The sequence below is a fragment of the Homo sapiens genome, chromosome 10 (assembly GCF_000001405.40).
Source record: "Homo sapiens chromosome 10, GRCh38.p14 Primary Assembly".
Lineage (NCBI taxonomy): Eukaryota > Metazoa > Chordata > Mammalia > Primates > Hominidae > Homo > Homo sapiens.
The window spans coordinates 82160836-82182129 of record NC_000010.11 but is presented as its reverse complement, the minus strand read 5'-3'; the positions used below and the strand labels follow the sequence as shown (position 1 = coordinate 82182129).

Below are 21294 nucleotides of genomic sequence, written 5' to 3'. Positions count from 1 at the left end.
TTGAAACTGAAAGTATGGAAAAAAAAACATGTTCCATTCAAAAAGAAAAAAAAATAGAGCAGGATGGCCATACTTATACCAGACAAAATACATTTTAAGTCAAAAACTGTCACAAGAGCAAGGATATTATATAATGATAAAAAGGTCAATTCACCAAGATGATATAACACTTATAAATACATATGTATACAATATCAGAGCATCTAAACATATGAAGCAAACATTGACAGAACTGAAGGGAGAAATACACAGCAACACAATAACAGTAGAACCTTTCAATACCCACTTTCAATAATGGCCAGAACATTCAGACAGAAGATCAATAAGGAAAGAGAACTTGCACAATATAAAACAAATGGGCCTTATAAACAAATATGGATCATTCCAGTCAGTAAAAGCAGAATAAACTTTCTTCTCAGGTATACACAGTACATTCTACAGGATAGATTACATGTTAGGTCACAAGACTTGTCCTAACAAATTTAAGAGGACTAACTTATCAAAAGTATGTTTTCTAACTACAGTGGAATGAAATTAGAAATAAATACCAAAATGAACCTAGAAAGTTCACTAATAGTTGAAAATTAAACAATACACTCTGGAACAACCACTGAATTAAAAAGTAATCAAATGGGAAATTAGAAATATCTTGAGACAAATGAAAATAAGTCACAGCATACCCAATTTTATGGCATGCAGCAAAAGCAGTAGTAAGAGAGAAGTATATTGCAATGAACACTGACATTAAAAAAGAAGAAAGATCTTAAAAAGGAGAAAGATCTCAAATAATCAACCTAATTCTACAACTTGATAAACTAGGAAAAGACCAAACTGGATCCAAAGCTACCAGAAAGGAGAAAATAATGAAGGTTAGAACAAAAATAAATAAAATAGAGAATAGAAACAATAAAAAACCAAAACTAATAGCTGTTTTCTGAAAAGATAGATAAACTTGATAAACATTTATCTAAACTAAGAAAAGAGAGAAAATAGTTAAATGAAGAGAATTAGAAATGAAAGAGGAGACATTGATGCCACAGAAATATAAAGGGTTATAATAAATTACTATGAGTAATTAAACACCAACAAATGGGATAAACTAAAAGAAACAGATAAATTCAGTCTACCAAGACTAAATTAGAAAGAAATGAAAAATCAGAACAGACCTATAACAAGTAAGGTGACTGAATCAGTTAAAACACCAAACATAACAAACAAAAACAACAACAAAAAACTATCCAACAAGGAAAAACTCAGGACCAATGGCTTCACTGGTAAATTCTACTAAACACTTAAAGAGGAATTAACAACAGTTCTTCTCAAATCTTCCAAATAATTGAGAAGTGGTTGAGGGGCCCCCTCCAAACTCATGTATAAGGCTAGCATTACCCTGAAGCCAAAGGCAGAAAAAGACACTGCAAGAAAAGGAATCTACAAGTCAATATTCCTGATGAATATGCATGTAAAAATCTCAACAAAATATTAACAAATCAAATTCAACAGCGCACTAAGAGGATTATATACTTTTTTACCAAGTGGAATTTATCCCTATGATGAAAGGATAGTTCAACAGACAAAAATTAATCAAGGTGATACACCACATTAACAGAATAAAGGATAAAAATCACATGATCATCTCAAGATATACAGAAAAAGAATTTGAAAAAATTTAATGTTCTGTCATAATAAAATCACTCAACAAACTAGGAATAGAAGGAAATTACCAAACATAATAAAGGCCATATCCAATAAGCTCACCACTAGCAACATATTCAACAGTTAAAACCTGAATGCTTTTCCCCTAAGGTCAGGAACGAGGCAAGGATGTCACTCATGCCACTTCTATTCAATATTGTACTGAAGTTCTAGTGTGAGCAATTTAACAAGAAAAAGAAATAAAATAATCAAAAATGAAAAGAAATAAAATAATCTCTACTCACAGATGACATGATCTTATATGAAGAAACTCCTAAGGATTTCACACACACACACACAAAAACCTGTCAGAACTAATAAATAAATTCAACAAAAGTTGTAGTATATAAAATCAACATGCAAAAATCAGTTGTGTTTATACACTAACAATGAACAATCTGAAAAGAAAATTAAAAAAATAATTACATTTACAATAGCATTAAAAATAATAAAACACTTAGGAATAAAGTTAAGCAAGGAGAAGAAAGACTTATATGCTGAAAACTACAAAATGTTACTGAAAGAAATTTTGAAAAACACAAATAAATGGAAATACATTCTACTTTTCTTGACTGGAAGACTTAATACTATATTATTAAAATGTCTATGGTATCAAAGCAATCTACAGATTCAATGCAGTCCTTTCCAAAACCCCAAGGCAATCTTTACAGAAATAAAAGAAAAGATTAATATGCAACCACAAAGGACCCCAAATAGTTAAAACACTCTTGAAAAAGAAGAGGAATGTCAGAGTCCTCATACTCTGTAATTTCAAAACATATTACAAAGCTACAGTAATAAAAAAATATGGTACTGGCATAAGACAAACATATAGTCAAGGGAACAGAGAACACAGCCCAGAAATAAACCAATGCATTTATCGTCAAATAATCATTGACAAGGATGCCAAGAACATAATGGAGAAAAGATAGCCTCTTAAACAAATGATGTTCAGAAAACTGGAAATCCATATGCAAAACAATGAAATGGAATCCATATATTGCAGCATATATAAAAAGCAACTCAAAATGTGGTAAAGACTTACATGTAAGACCTGAAACTGTAAAACTCCTAAAATAAACCACAAGGGAAAAGCTTCATGACATTATTCTTGGAAATGCATTTTTTGATATGACAGCGAAAGAATAGACAACAAAAGAAAAAATAGATAAGTGAGACTAAATCAAACTAAAAAGCTTCTGCACAGCAAAAGAAACAATTAACAGAGTGAAAAGGTAACCTACACAATAGGAGAAAATATTTCCAACCATATATCTGATAAAGGGTTAACACTTAAAATATAATTTTTAAAAAAACTCCTATAGTTCAGTAGCAAAAAAAGCTCCAATTATCTGATTTGAAATGAGCAAAGGGCCTGAATAAACATTTCTTCAAAGAAAACATACAAATGCCAATAGGTATATGAAAAGATTTTCAATATCATTGATCATCAGAAAAATGAAAATCAAAATTATAATGAGATATCACTTCATACCTGTTGGTATGGCCATTATATTTATTTACAAAGATAAAGAAAAACATAAAATAACAAGTGTTGACAAAAATGTGGAAAAACTGTAACCCCTGTGAACTGCTGGTTGGAATACCTAAAATGGTGCAGATGCTATGGAAAACACTATGAAGTCTTCTTTAAGAATTTAAAAATAGAACTATAATATGATTGAGCCATCCTACTTTTGGGTATTTATCTAACATAACTGAAATTAGGATCTCAAAGAGAGATATCTGCACTCCCATATTCATTGCAGCATTACTCACTATAACCAAGAGATATAAAAAACCTAAATGACCTTTGATAGGTAAACAGCATTTTGTAAATACATACAATAAAATACTATTTAGCCATAAAAAGAAGAAAATTCTGTCAAATGCTACAACATGGATGGATCTTCAGGATATTATGCTAAGTGAAATAAGTCAGTCACAGAAGGGCAAATACTGCTCGATTCCACTTATATAAAGTATCTAAAATAGTCAAACTCATAGAAGCAGAAAGTAGAATGATTTTTCCCAGGCCTGGGCAAAGGGCTAACCGAGCAGTTGCTTTTCAATAGATATAAAGTATTAGTCACATAAAATGAAAAACTTCTAGAGATCTGCTGTACCTCATCGTGCTTATAGTTAATACTGTCTTTTATACTTATAATTTTGTTAAAAGGGGAAATTTTATTTTATGCATTTTTAATCACAATGAAACATATGCATGTACATCATCCCTTTTTCTCATTTTTATGTGTGAGGGCGTTTTGGAAAATAATTTATTTTTCATTAGAATATTTATAATACATTGGTTTTATTTTTATTTTCTACATTAACCAATAAAATATTTTAAAAGTCTTCTCATATTAATTTTACTATCATTAATATTGATGGGTAAGACCCACATAAGCAAAAGCTCTTTGGGCTCTTCGATAATTTACATGGGCTGGGCACAGTGCCTCACACCTATAATCCCAGCACTTTTGGAGGCTGAGGCAGGAGGACTGCTTGAGGCCAGGAGTTTGAGATCAACCAGGGCAATATTTTTTCTTCTCCTTACTGGTTATAGGTCTGTTCCGATTTTTAATTTCTTTCTAATTTAGTCTTGGTAGACTGAATTAATCTTTCTTTTAGTTTATCCCATTTGTTCATGTTTAATAACAAGATTCTGTCTCTACAAAAAAATAGAAAATATTAGCTGGATGTGGTGGCGCACGCCTGTGGTCCCAGCTACCCGTGAGGCTGAGGTGGGAGGATCACATAGGCCCAAGAGGTAGAAGTGGCAGCGAGCTGTGATTTCTCCAGTGTACTCTAGCCTTCATGACAAAGAAAAACCATGTCAAAAAAAATTATTCTAAGAATCTAAACTTTCTAGGCTTGAAAGTTTTTAGTTCCACTGGTTTAGTTGGATTATGCTCTAAGTAATACGCACATAAAAAACTTCTTTTCAAATCTTGGTCTTTGTACTCAGTTATTATGTAAACATTAAACTTGAGTGTTAATGGATTTATCTAAAAAGTTTATCTACAAAGTAACCTTTTCTTTTAAAAATAATTAAAATATTGCATATATCATAGGTAACCTTTTCCTATGTTTATGATTAATTTCCTCAGATAATCACAAACCCTTTGTAGAAAGGATCAATAGATTTTTCTTTTAGTTTCTCCTTAGATTAAAAAACACACAATCAGGCCTAGATAGGTAGTTCATGAGAAAGAAAATATACAGTAAATGTAATAAAGGGAAACAATAAAAGTCTAAATTGAAAAATGATAGTAATATAAACATAGCAAACATTAAGTGACTGCTGCTATCTTCAAGGCACTAAGGTATCTTATTTAATCCTCTTCACAACCCGGAGAGGTAGATAATATTATCATTATTACGCAGGTAAGGAAAGGGTAGGCTACGATGTTGAGTAACTTGTCCTAATTGGCAAGCAGCAGACCTGAAATTTGGAGTCTTGGAGCTAGGGGTGGAACTGATGTTCTCTCTGACTCCAAAAACCCTCCGAGTGTGTGTGTGTGTTTGTGTGTGTGTGTGTGTGTGTGTGTCTTGTTTTAAAAATCGAGGCTTTGTGTTGTCAAATCCATGCATCTCCTGGGCTACTATGTCATTTGAGCTAAGGAAAACAAATCCAGGTCAGTAGCAGTGCCACCAGCTGTGAAACAGGTCAAGGAAAACAGCAATCATTGAGCCCAGGAAATTACCAGGGGGATCAGGGGATGCCATGTTGTTGTTCTCAGACAGAGATAAAAATAAATCAGCTTCTCCTGTAGAGTGCAGAAGGTACAGGCAACTCTACAGCATTCAACCCAAACCAAACACCGCTGGAGATGGGAGACAACCAAGGAGTTCAATCAGCTCAATCCAAGCATTCTCTCCCCTTCAGTGTGCTCTGTGACAGAGGGTAGCCTACGTGTTTGGGCATGGATAGAAACATATAGGGAGCAGCAAGCATGCATTTCTATCTCTCTCCTCTCTGCTGAGAGCAAAAAGAGGCATATAACAGGAGGAGGTCTCCAGGATTCCAGGATGTGATGTGCCAATCACTTCAGTCAGAAATTAGTATCACTGAAGAAGCACTTGGGTAGGGATGTGTATATGCTCCTGAGAAAGAGTTGGGAAAGAGGAGTTCTCTCCTAAAGACTAAGAACACCAGAAGTTATTTAAAGACAGCATTTTCATATAAGGTTACATTTCCCAAAGGATATCCTGCATGAGAATCTCATAAAATGGCTTCTAAAGCCAATAGATCTGGGAAGTACTGTGCAGTATAGACAAACTTGAAGATTCATATTAATGTATTAAAGACTTTGAGAACTACTACAAGAAGAAACTTGCTCCTGTTGTTTATTCCAGAGCTTCCTAAGTTGGATGCAAGGGTAATGTCTTATGAACACGTTTTCAATTCTGCTGACGGAAAGAGTATGATGGGCTAAAAGAAAAGTAAACAGACTAACCTGGTCAAATTCTTATTTTCTCTAGACCACAGATATCTCACTAGGAAAACAGGAACAATTGCAACTATATCATGGAGTTACTGTAGAAATCAAATGAAATGATATATATCAACTAGAGAATTTATATTAGGTAGGCAATAAATAGTATCCGTCTACCAAAGTATGTATTTTTTGGCATGAGCAACTTAGCCAATAATTCTATGCACAGATTACCTGACATCATACTGGGCAGACAATGATGGATAAGATATAGGATCTATTCTCTAAGGACTTACAGTCCAATTAGGGAGAAAGATATGTGAACAGCTAACCACATAATGAGTGCTATCTTACAAGTTTGTAGAACATGTTATGGAAATGTTTAATTTTCCCAGAGCAAATTGTGGATGCCTTCAGAACTGAGTCTTGAAAATCTAGCATAGTTTCCCAGGTAGAACAGTAAATGAAGCATTTGGATAAAGGGAAATTGGTAAACAATGATCACAGACATGATGTATTCAGCATTTAGAGGAAAGTATAGTCTGGATGCAAATGGAAGGGAAGGGATGGTTGAGCTGAGATGGTAGGTCAAGGTGATGCTGTAAAAGGCGCTGCTGCTAAAGGAGGTTGGACTTTATTTGAGGGCACTCTTGAGCCTTTAAAGTTTTTTTTCAATAAGAAAGACAAGATCAGGTTTGTCTTTCAGAATGATGATTCTGTTAGCATCAGAGAGGCTGATCACAGGAGGCAAAATTGCAAGCAAAGAAGCAGCTTGAAGCCAATCATCCCCTCTTGCCTGACCTCGTGTTGGTGAGGGGATGGCCCAGAGCAGCACTCAGAGAGGATGACAGAAAGTGATGGGTAGCAAGGCCATATAAGGGTAGGTCTTAATGTCCCTAATGTTGGGGAAGAAACAAAGGAAACAAGAAGGTAAAAATTAATGCCTGAGATTCTAACTTGGATGACTGGATGTATGGTAGGACAATTAACCATAATTTTTTTAAAAAAGAGAGGGAAAAATCAATTTAGAGTAAGATAATGGGAAAGGGTTGTACTGTTTCAGGAATTTGTAAATTGAAATTAATCCATGGGGCTTAAATAGGCTTCAATCATTAGAAAATGGGAAGTAGAGATCTGGAGTTTGGAATTCTAACTGGGATTGAGGATACAGCATTGGGAGTCAGAAGTTTAAGCAGCAGGAACTAGATGCCCCAGTATGAGGATGTGGAGTGCTCAAAATCATAACAGAGTGAGCCAGGGGTTGGAAAATGCCAAGGATAAGAAGAAAGTGGAGATCCTGTCTTCTGGAAGACTGTATTTCATTTGGGGAGAACTGATATATTGAAAAGGACTGAAAGAAAAATTAAGTACAGTACTAAGCTCTGTGCTACTTATAGCTACAAGAGGATACAGCCTACTAATTAAGGCTTGAAATATAAATGAATGAGATCTTGAATACAGGTGGGATTTCTAAACTTAAAACAAACAGAAGAAATAGGATGTAATTGTCAGAGCGAAGGGCCAGGCAACTATTCATATTAGCATTATTAAAGGAGGCTAGAATGAGGAAAGATTGGCTTAATGATGGGCAAAATTATGGAGATACGAAAAAAACATGTGCATAAAGAGGAAACAAGGAAAATTTAAGTGGCTGGAAAGAGGTAAGTATGAAGGGAGATAAAGGTAAAGGGATAGAGGATAAAAGATAAAGGAGAATGGTTAATTTCAACCTTGAAATTACTCAAGGTTGAAAAGAACAATTTGGAATTGATGTGTGTGCAATAATGGGACTACTAGTCTTTCAAAATTTTACATATAAAATGGACTCAATGAACTCTATGTTATTTTTTGGTTTTAGAAGCAGTTCTTCTACCCAGTAATGATGTACCACACATGGGTAATTTTGAATGACTTGGGGAGGGCTAGACGGACTCCAGGTAATTTCCGGTAGCCACTGTAATAGTCCAGATGATGCATGAGAACCTGAATTGTAGGAATTAAACCTAAAAACATAATTTGAAATGAATTACACTTCAAAGTAGACCAAATATAACGGACGAAGGAGGAGTCAATGAAGAGTCTTGAAGCAAATAAATTACTTTAAAGGTCTCAGTACAAAATGAAAACATAGCTAACCAGAGGTCAGGAGGCCGTGGCTACATGAATGAGTGAGGGTCTATGTTTCTGAGTCTCTAGCACACTTTGGAGCATGCCTTTTAGTTATGTGTACGTAAGTGTTGATCTTTGTGTTCTTGTCTGGCCTTGTCTCTGGGTCTCTCTTTTCATGCGTGTGTGTGTGTGTGTGTGTGTGTGTGTGTTCACATATGCATACATCTCTGTGTGTTTACATGAGGGTCTCTAGGTCTCTTGGCTCCTATGGACATTAGCCCTCATCTTGCTTGCTCACCTGTAATTGTCAATCCCAGCTGTGTCATTGTGTCATCTGGTCAATGTCCTTGTACCTGTGTGTGCATGTCTTTGCTATAAGATTGTGTTGCTATGTTTTAATAGGTGTGTATGCATGTGACAACTGCATTTTTGGCACTCATATGTATGGTCCAGGCTTCTATCTGTTTATATTTATATTTTACATCAGCATGTGTGCGTGTTTGTGTACGTGTGCCTACTTTCTAAGTCTTGACAGTAGTGTACCAGTTGGTGCCTTTCACAGCTAATGTAAAACTGTCAAACAGTCCTGAATGACAAATGGAAAAAAAAAAAACTTAATGTATCTGGCTACATTGGCCTTTTTACCTTTAACAGGAAATTGATCTTATCTTTTACAGCCTATTTCACTACATATCAATGTGCAGATGCAAATACTTCCATGCCACTAACATAAAGCCTGTATCAACCCAAAGCAATCCTTTGTAGAAACTGAATCTGAAATTATCCTCTTTGCTTTATAATGGTAGTGAAAACCAAGCAAAGCATTTTTTGAGCCATAAAATTTAATTTAACTCAAAAGTCACCCTAGCTTATGGATTTTCCTGCACAGACACTTTCATATTAGGAGCCTGTGGTGAAGACTCCCTGTTGATTTTTATACATTCTAAAAGTAATAGAGAGAGAGGTAATTTTACATTTTTTACTCAACTATTAGTAAAATAACTATGATGGGTTGCTTTTGTTGGGAATGATGTAAAAGAAGGGAGACAGGGAGGGCCCATCACAAGGCCAGTGTTAGGATGGGTCTTTACATTACATTATGGGTCAAGCGGGAAAGGCCCCGCAGACCTCTGTGTTTCAATCTTATAGGAAGTTAGAATGAGGAGACCATTAAATTTACATGCATAAAGGCATGACCCCAGGCATGGAGATAGAGATGCACACAGTGTGACAGGTTCTGTGGCTGATGAGATTGAAGGTGATCTCTGTTTTCATATATAATCAAGCTGAATCTCAGTGAATTTTAGCAGTAGCCCCAGGATCACCACTTGGGATCCTGAAGTCTTGAAGCTGAGATTTAAGCGTAGATTTCTTGTTCTATTCTCCAGTTTATGAAGCCACTTCCCAAAGGACATATGTTACAAACATTTCGCCAAACCATCTTCTTCATGTTTGGGGTTCATTGTCCACATTAAAAATAAATCAAAGACAAGCAGTAACCCACATATTCTTGGGTATAAATTTTAAAATGAAAACTGCTGTAATGTACCTGTCAGAAAACATTCACATTCTTAGCCTTTTAGACAACACGGTTGGCCACTTCAGTAGACTTGACTTTAAATTCTCTTTGTTTATTAGTTGTCCACTAATAGGATAAAAAGAGCAATGAGCGCAGGAATCATAGAAATCTGTTCACCAATTTTAATTCCAATGGAGTGCAGCAGGAAACAGTAAGCTTGAGTCTCACTTCCTCAATAGAAACCCCATGCAGGTGTTCAGAGCACACTTGGTATTTCCATCACTGGCTGCTACTGATGTGATACGGGGCATTTTCATCAACCCCAAACACAGAACAGATGTGTCACAGTGCAATAATTAGCCCAAATTCCATTTACCTTTATTCTGATGTAAATGAATCCTGGTATTTTAGCTGTGCACATTGCTGAGTGATAAAAATGTCATTCCTTATCACCTCTTACAACCAGGTGTGGCTACTAAGATCTTATAAGATATAGGAAGCAGTGTTGTCATGACACTTCTTAAGATTCTCTTAAAAGGAAGGGATATCCTTGTTCTTCCCTCTTTACCTTTCCTGCTACATGAAACGTGGATGCAGTGGCCAGAATATCAACAGTTATTTTGAATCATGAAGCAATTTTGGTTATGTAAGCAGCCAGGCATGAGAAACAAGAGCAAGTTTTTGAGTTCCTGGAACCATGAATTCTTGAATTGCCTACCTCTGAACTACTCCTACATGGAAGAAATATGTAGTTCTATTTTGCTTAAGCCACTAACTTGAACTGTAATACTCGCAGCTGAATTTAACCTGCTCTGATGAAGGAAACATCTTGCTTCCAGGTCCTTAGTGGCTGCAAGATAACTGCTTCCCCTTCCATCATACTCCCATTTATGACCTATATCATTCTATACAGCATCTATCAGAGAGCAACTAAGCCAAGAATTCTCTACACAGATTTTCTTTGGTGCTGGCAAAGTAGAAGCAGTGCTTTAAATCCTGGAAGGTGTGGCTCGGAGGACATGTTGGTGGGAAGTAAGGTAGGGCTGCTGGGCAAAGAGAGGAAAAACCTTGCTAGTAAGGAGTATACTTCATCTTTTAGTACATCACTGGGCCAGGCAACTAGGGGAGAAAGAATGATTGATTTGATGCGTCTCTACTTTCCACATTATTTTAATTTATGCAAAAATGGGACTTCTATTTTTGAAATACTTCATACCAAATACATTGATTGAATTGCACCAGGAGACTAAATGAGAATTAAACAAAAATGGGAGGAAAAGAAAATGAAAGAAAATAGAAAATAATGACACTAATAAAGCCAGAGTATCTATTATCATAATCAATATTAATGTCTTCAGCTCCTTCACATGAAGACAAATGATCTCAGACTGCATAAAACAATCTGACAACACCCATAAATCAAATTAACATAGAAATGTTAAAATTAAAGAGATTTTGGATTGAAACAATATTAACTTATAATATGACTTCTCCTACCTTCTGATTGGAATATCAATTGGGGGTGAGAAAAAGAAAAATATGGAAACTCACAATACTATCAAAACTGAAGGCTGGCAATCGAATGGCAATTTTGAAAAAGCTGACTCTATTTGTAATGATGGCCATTAACATTTAATGATGCTTATTATATACCTATATATATTTACATATATATATATATATATATATATATATATATATATATATATACCACAAGTTTTATAAACATCATCTCATTCAATTCTCACAATTATTCCCCATTTTAAAAATGAGAAAATTAAGCTTTAGTGAGACTTCGCCCAAGGTCAAACAACTAATAAATGAAAAAGCTGAGACTCAGAATCAGGTGTTGAATGGTGAACCATATGGATTTTCATGGAGAAAATAAATACCCAGGTTTGGACAAGACGCATATTAAGTTCAAGGGAATACAGAGGTACTGCCTGAAAAATGTTGGGCTATGATTTTAATATTACCTACTTACTGTTTATTGACTCAGAAGTCAAGTAACTACTAATCTGAAGACCCGGCCACATGCTTGCTCTCTCTGTCTTTTGGACAGTAGTACTCTGTGAGCTGAACATTATGTTAGACCTTTTCTCACCCATGCCATTTTTCTGCACAAGAGAAAAGGTGGTATATTTCAGAAACCCATAGGCCAGGAACAGATGGGACTCCATTAGAATGGTCTATTCTGTTGTGAAGTTATCTCTGGTAATGTGTTGAGTATAGAATTTGGATATAGAAAAGTGAACCAGAAACTAACATTTGTTAATGCACTACAGCAGTTCAGAGAATTAAAGAACAAAACAGTGGAGATAGAAAATATCTCATATCCATAGATCAGTGGTCTATCAAAAAAAAAAAAACACACATGAAAAACTTAAGTCTTGAAATCTTATCTGAGAAGCTAATTTGTTTACACACAAGTAGGCTAACAGTAGAACAAATATCAACCAAAATCCTACCTCATTTAAAGGTGAATAAAGAAAAAAATAAGAAATGTTGGAAAACAATATAAAGAAAAATCAATAGACTCAGAAAAAACAGAATAATAAAAATGATATACTGAAAGATCAGAAAAACTTAGAAGAAACTACACATAATCTTTAATAGAGAATAAAAATAAATGAATATTAAGAAAACAGGAAAAATATTACAGAGAGAGCAAGTAGAAATGCAAAACAAAATGAGTGAAATTATAAGAAAGATAGGTGAAATAAAGAAATATTTTAAGGAAGAGTACAAATCAAATTGTAGAATCAAAATTTACACTGGAAGTAGTATTAAGCAAAATTCATTTTACAGAGATGTAAGTAATATACCCTAAAACTCAAAGTATAATAAAAAAATAAAAAATTAAAAAAATTAAAACACAAGAACATTTTTAGAATTCAGAAGGGAAGTGAAAAACAAAAGATACAAAGTTACAAAAACTAATAATATATAAAGAAGGATGAGTATAGAATTCTGAAATATAGATAATTGTTCCTTAAGAAAATACCAGATCTTTAAAAAGTGGGAAAAAAAATGATTAAGATATCCTAAAAGATAGCCACTCTTGAAAAAGAGTATTTTTGTAAATTGAAAATTCTTAACATTCAAAACAAATGACTATACAAACCTAAGTACATCTAGCCAACATTTTAGAATTATAAGAATAAAAGAACTACACAGGTGTGCATAAAGATACCAATATGAAGCTGAAATAAAATTTTACACATATGCTCGTCGCTTTCTTCACATAATTGCTATGGAAAGATGTTTGCAGATATGTGAGTATTAAGATGGTAAGCTGAATACAGTACTGAGGTCAACTTCATCATGAAACTGCAATAAATCTCTAGTAAAGGAATTGTAGGAAGGCATGAATTAAAAAGAACAAAGGGTATAAGAATCAACAAAACACCTTTTGGATGCTAGAAAGCAGAGAATAATGTAACTGACTCAGCAGGCCAGAGAAAGGTGAACAGTTTATCTAGAAGTCAGAAAAATTGATGGAAACTCAATTTAGATTCTAAAAATTCCAAAATCTGAGAAAATGGCAGAAATGATACCTCTAAAATTGGGATGTAGAAAGCACAATTTTAAAAATGGAGAACTTCTGTGAATCTGGTTAAGAAACAAACAGAACTTTCTCTCACATTAGGCCACTCCACACTGCTGGGTTAATTACCTTGCACCACTATGGAAACAGATGGGAGGGTAATTCCCTGCAAAGGGTAAATCAGAAATCCCCAGGACTGAGGTATATCATTCACAGGTGAGGACTGCACATGTCAACCATGATCACTATTCTAGGTAGTCTGGTTGGATGAGGTTGTAACATTGTGAGAAAAGAAAAAGCTCAAAACTCGAGATTATGTATTGATACTTTCATTATTCTTTCCTCATCTATCTCTCCATATTTTGATGGGCAAGTGTATTTCACATCTGTAGAAGAGTGGAGGAATGTTTTCTTTCTCTGGGGACTCTGACCACTCCAAAGAATATGACCTGAAGATACTGATGTTGAGGGTTTCCTACTGGGATCTTCCAAGAGAGAAGCCAAATGGACAATTCCCAGCCACCTACCCACGGAGAGCCTTGGAATAGGTTTCAAGCACAGCATTTTTAATATAAGCAGACAGCCAAATGTTGACAAACATTTAGGGGAACGATCCTACATGAAAACAGGTACTACCATAGAAAGAAGACAAATGCAGCAATCTTAGGCTGCACAAAGAGAAAATATTCAAAGTCATATTCAGAGTTAAATTAATAGTCATTTTGTTTATTATTAAGAGAGTCATGTCTAAGGAGGAGGAATAATATTGACAAATATTCAATTTCCAAAACATAATTCTTAGTTTTCCAAGGGTTTTTTTTTCCTTTAAAAAATCTTAAGATGGGCTACTTTAGCAATATAAAAGAAGAAACTCTTCTGTACATCCCTCTCACGCTTTCCCCCTTCAAAAAAATGAAGAATCCCATTAATACAATTAATAGGTAAATAACAAACATAAAAGAAAACAAGTGTGAAATATATTTATGATAAACACACCATTCAATAATCTTTATGTATTTGGAGTTTTTAAAATGAGAAAAACAAAAACAATCACGTATTAAAAAGAAGGTGGTAAATATAAGCAAATATTTACAAAAGTACAACAAACGCTTATCACAAGTTTAAACAATGATAAACCCAAAAGAACTTATTCTGAAAACAAATAACTGTGGCTGAGCCCATGTGTGCTAGGAGATAATTATGAAATTGGGAGTTCTCTGAATTAACCTTCATATAAAAAATATAATAAGTAATAATAATGTGCTAATATGAAGCTTATACATATTTTATAAAATTTTACAGTAAACACAGCAATTATTATAAAATTCTCTACAGGGTGGAACACTCCCATCACCCTGCCCCTTTGGATGCCACTGCCACTAAGTCATATTCAGACTTAAGAATCATTTTGTTTACTATTGAGAGAGTCATATATAAGGAGAGGGAAATAATAAGTTCTAGACTGAATACTGCCTTAGTCCAGCCTACGAATCATAAAAACAGGAACTAACAGAATGAAACACTTACCAAGTAAATTAATTGCATGCCAGAATAAAACTAAAAATTTTATGAATAATAATAAAATCTCCCAACAAGTAAAATTTGCAATGTCTGACATTGAATAAAAAATTACTAGGCATGCAAAAAAAGCAGAAAAATAAGACCAATGAGGAAGAAAAAATTCAATCAGTTGAAATAGAAGCCACATTTGAAAAAATAATTTAAAAAGAATAAAACTATATAAAGGTGCATCATAATCAAATTTTTAAAAATCTGTGATAAAAAGAAAATCTTACAAACAGGCAGAGAGAAAAGATGCGTTACATACATAGGAACAAAGATAAGAAAGATGGCAGATTTCTTATCAAAATAATGCGAGCAAGAAGACAGTCAAGCACATCTTTAAAATACCAAGGAGGGAATAAAAAAAAACTACTGAGAAAAAAATACCTTTCAGTAATGAAGATAAATAAAGACTGTTTCAGACTTACAAAATTTGTATGAATTCGTCAGCAGCAGACCCACACTACTTGAAATGTTAAAGCAAGTCCTCCAGGCAGAAGGAAAATAATACCAGATGATTATATTGATCTAAACAAAAGAATGAAGAGCACCAGAAATGGTAACTAAATTAGTAAATATATATATTTTTCTATATATACATATATATGTGTGTATATATAGACATAATTATTTAAATATCCTTAAACAATTATTGATTGCTTAAACAAAAATAATAGCAATGCAATATAGTATTTATAATATGGGCAAAAGTGAAATATATGTAACAATACCACAAAGACCAGGAGAGGCAAAATGAAAAAACTTATTGTAAGGCAATTTTCCTACACATGAAGTATTATAATATCACAAATATAGATTTTAATAGTTAAAGAGATATATGAAAAATCCTAAAACAGCTACTAAAATACAAAGCAGAGATTTATAGCTAATAGGTCAACAAAGAACATAATATGGAATCATTAAAAAATTCAATCAGGCCGGACCTGGTGGCTCATGCCTGTAATCCCAGCACTTTGGGAGGCCAAGGCGGGCGGATCACCTGAGGTCAGGAGTTAGAGACCAGCCTCAACATGGAGAAACCCTATCTCTACTAAAAATACAAAATTAGCCGGGCGTGGTGGTGCATGCCTGTAATCCCAGCTACTGGGGAGGCTGAGGCAGGAGAATTGCTTGAACCTGGGAGGCGGAGGTTGTGGTGAGCTGAGATCGCGCTGTTGCACTCCAGTCTGGGCAACAAGAGTGAAACTCCATCACAAAAAAAATTAATAATAAATTAAAAATAAAAATAAAAAATTCAATTAATCTAAAAAAAGTAGAAAACAGGAAAAGAGAACAAAGAACAGATGGGACAAATAAAAAATGAATAGCAAGAAAACAAATGGGAAGATGATTTTAAAATGTTGACTAGATGTACTTAGCTTTACTCAGCTATTTATTTGAGTCTGTTGGAATATTGAGAATTTTTTCAATTCACAAAAAATAATTCTTAGATTTCCAAGGCTTATTTTCCTTTAGAATATTTTAAAAGTCTACTTTAGCAACATAAAATACTAAAGTCTCCTGTACATTCCTCTGTCACGCCCCCTCTCAAAAAAAAGAAACTCACAAATGCAATTAAGAAGTAAATAACAAATATGAAAGAAAACAAGTATGTAATATATTTATGATAAAAATTTAAATATTCTATATGTATTTAGAGTTTTTACAATGAGGAAAAAAATGATCACCTATTCAAAAGCAGGAAACAACTATGAGTGAATGTTTACAAAAGAACAAATGCCTAATGAAAAGTATGAAAAATATTAACATTTCCCTAATTTTACATATGTAAAATAAATAAGCTATTTTGCCTACAAAATTGACATTATTATAAATTGCACTATTCGGTTTTGCCAAAGCCAAGAGAAAATGTCACCTTTATGTAATCCTAATGAGACTGTAATCAGTCTGCAAATAAATAATTATTGAGCATCCATCATTAGGTGTCTGATATGGAATGCAAATCGTATTTTTATATAAAAATTCTTAAAATTTCTCCCAGTACTACTTCTCATTGAAAATTTGTTCTAGAAAAAAAACTGAATATTTGTCAAGATTTATTGAAAAGCTACCACATTTATAAATTAATAAAATATAACAGCATAAATGTCCAGTTGTAGAGAACTGATTAGCAAATGGTAGCATCCATACAATGGAATGCAATATAGTACTTATATAAAAATATACATGAAAATATTTTTTATGTCTATCTATACATAGATATATAAATGCACATACCATGTTTTAATAAATAAGTTATATAGGGCATAAACAGATATTAGAGTGCCAGTCTTTTCTAAAAATATTAAATCAAACCATGAAAAAGATTAGAAGGCTAAATACTATAATAACTCCTATAACTTCTCCTTTACTAGTTGATTTATATCTTGAATCCTAACTTCTCCCTTGAATTCCACACTACTATAACCAAGTTGAAAGTTCACATGTCCAAAACCAGAACTCTTATTTGCTTTCCTTCCCCAAACTAGCTCCCCACCTAGTTTTCCTAATATGAATAAGCAAAAATATCATTTTTCTTGACTGTTTTCTTTTCTTACCTCTCACTACCAACCTTCAGCCAAGTACTGCCATCTCTTGACTCCAAATCTCCCCCCTGCTACTTGCACTCTTGCTCTCTAAAATCCATTCTCCATACAGCAGCCAGAGTTATTCATGGAGGTAGAGAGTAAAATGATACATACCAGAGGCTGGGGAGGGTGTGTGTGTGTAAAGGGCAGTGGTTCGAGTGAGAGTGATAAAGAGGGGTTGGTTAATGAGTACAAATGTAGAGTTAGATGGAAGGAGTTCTAATGTTACATAGCAGAATAAGGTGACTAGAGTTAGCAACAATATATTGTACATTTGTAAATAGCAAGAAGAGAGGACTTGAAATCTTCCAACACACAGAAATGATAAATACTCCAGGTGATGAATATCCTAAATATCCTGAGTTGATCATTACACATTCTATGCATGTAACAAAATATGACATCTACTCCATAATTATGTACAAATATTATGTACCAATTAAAAAATTTTGCCAGGTGCTGTGGCTCACGCCTGTAATCCCAGCACATTGGGAGGCCTACACAGGTGGATCCCTGTTAGGAGTTCGAGACCAGCCTGGTCAACATGGTGAAACACCATCTCTAATAAAAATGCAAAAATTAGCCAGACATGGTGGTGCATGCCTGTAGTCTCAGCTACTCAGGAGGCCGAGGCAGGAGAATCACTTGAACCCAGGAGGTGGAGGTTGCAGTGAGACTAGATTGCACCACTCCACTCCAACCTGGGCAACAGAGCGAGACTCCATCTCAAAAAAAAAAAAAAAATTTTAAGAGAGAAACAAAAACCTATAGACCCTATCATATAGGTCCCTTGCTTGAAGCCCAATAATGGCATCTCACCACACTGAAAATAAAATCTGAATTCCTCACCATAGTACCAAAAGCATACATGAACTGTCTTCTCCTGCATTACTAACCTAAGATCAACCACGGCCTACCTTGTCCATGACTCTAAAGGTCCTAGCCTCAATCAGGACAACCATGTTCCTACCTGGAGGCATTGCCTAGATTGCTCCTCCTCAGCCTTCACAGAGATCTTTTCTAACCACTTCTAAACCAGAACTCTCTTGCCAGCCTTCACCTATCCTACATTGACATACCAGAGATTTCCCATCATTTATAGCTTCCTGAATTAATTTGTCTCATTCACCTACTGATGTAATGAATGACAGTGATGTCTAATCGAAAATCTAAGTCCTCAAGGACTATATTGCCTAAATATTTACAATATTGTAGTTGGTATCTGGTTGCTGATTTTTATCTCCTTCTTTGTGCTTCTCACCATTATCCAAATTTTATATGACTGATAAATATTTTAAAGACAGGAATGAAAAGTTCATATATGCACAAAACATAAAATAACAATGGCAGAGCTTAAGGTGCAAAGTAAAGAGAGGCATTTTCCTTGAGAACCTGATTAAGTCACTCCTTCAGTTGTGGGCACTTTTTGAAATAATCTTTTTGAGTGGAAGGTTAAAAAAGAAATTTCTTATATTAGAAGAGAGATTAATATGAAAGAGCTGTCGGTAAATTTGGAAGACTCCATAGGTTAATTAGACCTTCTGAAAAGAGGCCAATAAAAACCAGGGAGAGCAAAGTGGCCTCTTTTGCTGGCCTGAATGGTTTGGGTACTTTAAGCCACAAGCAGGAGAAAGCCAAGAGCACAGTAAGAATTTAACTGAAAATCAATAGTCCATAGCACAAACTCCATTCTCTGTCACCCTGCCAACTAGTTCCCAACAGGGCAATAGCATTTTAATAAAGTAGCTGTTAATTAGAGGAGGAGATTCACATGGTTTAGTTAACACTGTTTAGCTAAAGGACTAGACAGATTTGGAGAGCTTTATTAACTCAAATAACTGAGTCATGAAGGGAGGACTTTGGCTTATGTATAAAAGGGTTAAATTGATTCCACGTGCTAGAAAGAGCTCTGAGTTGCAATTCTCTTGAAAGCAACACATCCCATAGTTACATATCTCCGTTGCTGTCTTGGGTTGACTTACTGGTTTCTCTGCCAGTAATGATGATAGGCTGAGAAGCGGTGGAAGCTCACTCACTTGACACTTCAATGTATTCTCTTTGGGTTCAGTGAAAAAGGGCAGCCAATAACTTAGTGACTTCTCTTGCCCTTGTCTTTAGAAAGATTTACTCTGCCCAAAAAGGAGTGGGGAATAGAATGAGATGATGACAATGTTAAAAGTCAGTGGCTGACTTTTGCAAACAGAATAATATATTTGACACACAGAACAACTGACAAAATGATGGCAGAGCAAGGCACCTAGTACTGATGCAGTAGCCTGCCCTGTAATGTTCAACTGCCCAGCAATTAAATGTAAAAAGTAAAATAAAAAGGAAAGCTCAGTGATTTTGTGGAGTGATTTGACACTTTTATGTATAAATTTAAGCTCACAAGAATGGAGGTATTTTAGCCATTCACCTCTCCTTTAGCTATCAAGTTTGAGCTCCTGAACCCATCCTGGAAACTAGTGTTCACTTGAGCTAAATTTAAATTCGACAGATAATTGCAGAAGTTTTGAAGAATGAGAATTGATCCATGAAAACCAAATCTATTGTCCTATTCTCTCTTCAAGAACAGAATCTATTCTAGTGAAACAAAGTTTCATTTTCCATTGCATTCTGGAAGTTTCCCTTAATATATAAGCTTCCGGCAAGTCATTTGAGGGTTTGGGCACACTGATATTGAGAATGATCAAGAGTGATGGGCCACTTTGTTATATCAAGCCACTGAATATATTCATGCAATAATCAATACATTGCAGTATTTGAATCTAAGAAGCAATGGAGTGAATCTGCTTTCCCATGGCAGACACCTTGGCCAAGCTTAATTGCTTTGCTTAAACTTAGAGCAATCCAGGATCTCCATCTGTCAAATAGGGGTAATTGCAGTTGATATCTTTCTTTCCTAGAAGTATGTAGGGATCATTATTCAGATAGTATGGGTCAGGAAGCTAAGGATTCAGTGACAACAGCACCTGTTACTGAAAGGCAGTTGAAAAGAGAACAGGCTTTCAATGAGATAGACCAGGACTGGAAATCCAGCAACTCCATTTACTATCCAGTGAATGTATTAATATAAAATTCACTTATCCTTTCAGAGCCTGAGATTTCTTATCAGTAAAACTGGGGAAAAAATATCTACCTCGGCATGTCTATGTGAAGATTATAGCCAATGTATGCAAAGTGCTGGCCTACTAAAGGTACAAAAAAAGGGGAAGTGATTGCTTTATATATTTAATGGACCACTTGCCCCATAGTCGGTGCTTCTGTATTTAAAACAAGATTTCATGCTCCTTAAAGTTGGAACTCAGGACTTGTGTTATCATATCCACACAAATTCTGAGAACAGTGCACCCTGCAATAGCAGACCATTAACCAACCTCTAGTTATGAAACTAGTGATTGATAACTAAAGTCCCATAACTTCATGTACTTTCTCTATGCCGGTGACTCCAATTCTTCCAGCACTAACCACTTCCTGGGGCTCCAGGCTCAATGGCTTATTTGACATCCCCACCTGAATTCTTGATAATAATCTTTTAAAATTTCCCAAATAGAATTCTTAGTTTTTTAATACTTCCCTATACCTTGTTCTTTCCCAGTCTTCCTCTCTCAGGAAATAGCATGCCAATTCACTTTGTCTCAAGACAGAAAGACTTCACCAACGTCTAACCTCGCTAACAGTGTATTATAGTACACATTTTCCATACCCCCAGGGCTCCAGGTATTGTACATATTTTTAAAATTTTTCCAATATAATTTTATTCTAGTTTATATTTCCCATATTAACAGTGAGCTTCATTTTCTCATTGGCTGTTTATGAGCCTTGCTGTTC

The 21294-nt window shown here is 34.7% G+C and overlaps 1 protein-coding gene across 25 annotated transcripts in view; it reads right to left on the bottom strand.

Moving 5' to 3' along the window:
• Positions 1-21294, bottom strand: part of NRG3 (neuregulin 3) — a 1111986-nt gene that overhangs the window by 805050 nt on the left and 285642 nt on the right. For 2 of the 25 annotated variants that reach the window (NM_001370082.1, NM_001165973.2), the window contains exon 2: positions 15304-15403. The exons of 22 other annotated variants lie outside the window; for them this stretch is intronic. In NM_001370082.1, the coding sequence (NP_001357011.1) occupies positions 15304-15403 (100 nt within the window). Of the gene's footprint in view, positions 1-15303; positions 15429-21294 lie in introns of those variants that run through there. One more of the 25 variants, XM_017015582.2, reaches the window with a different exon arrangement.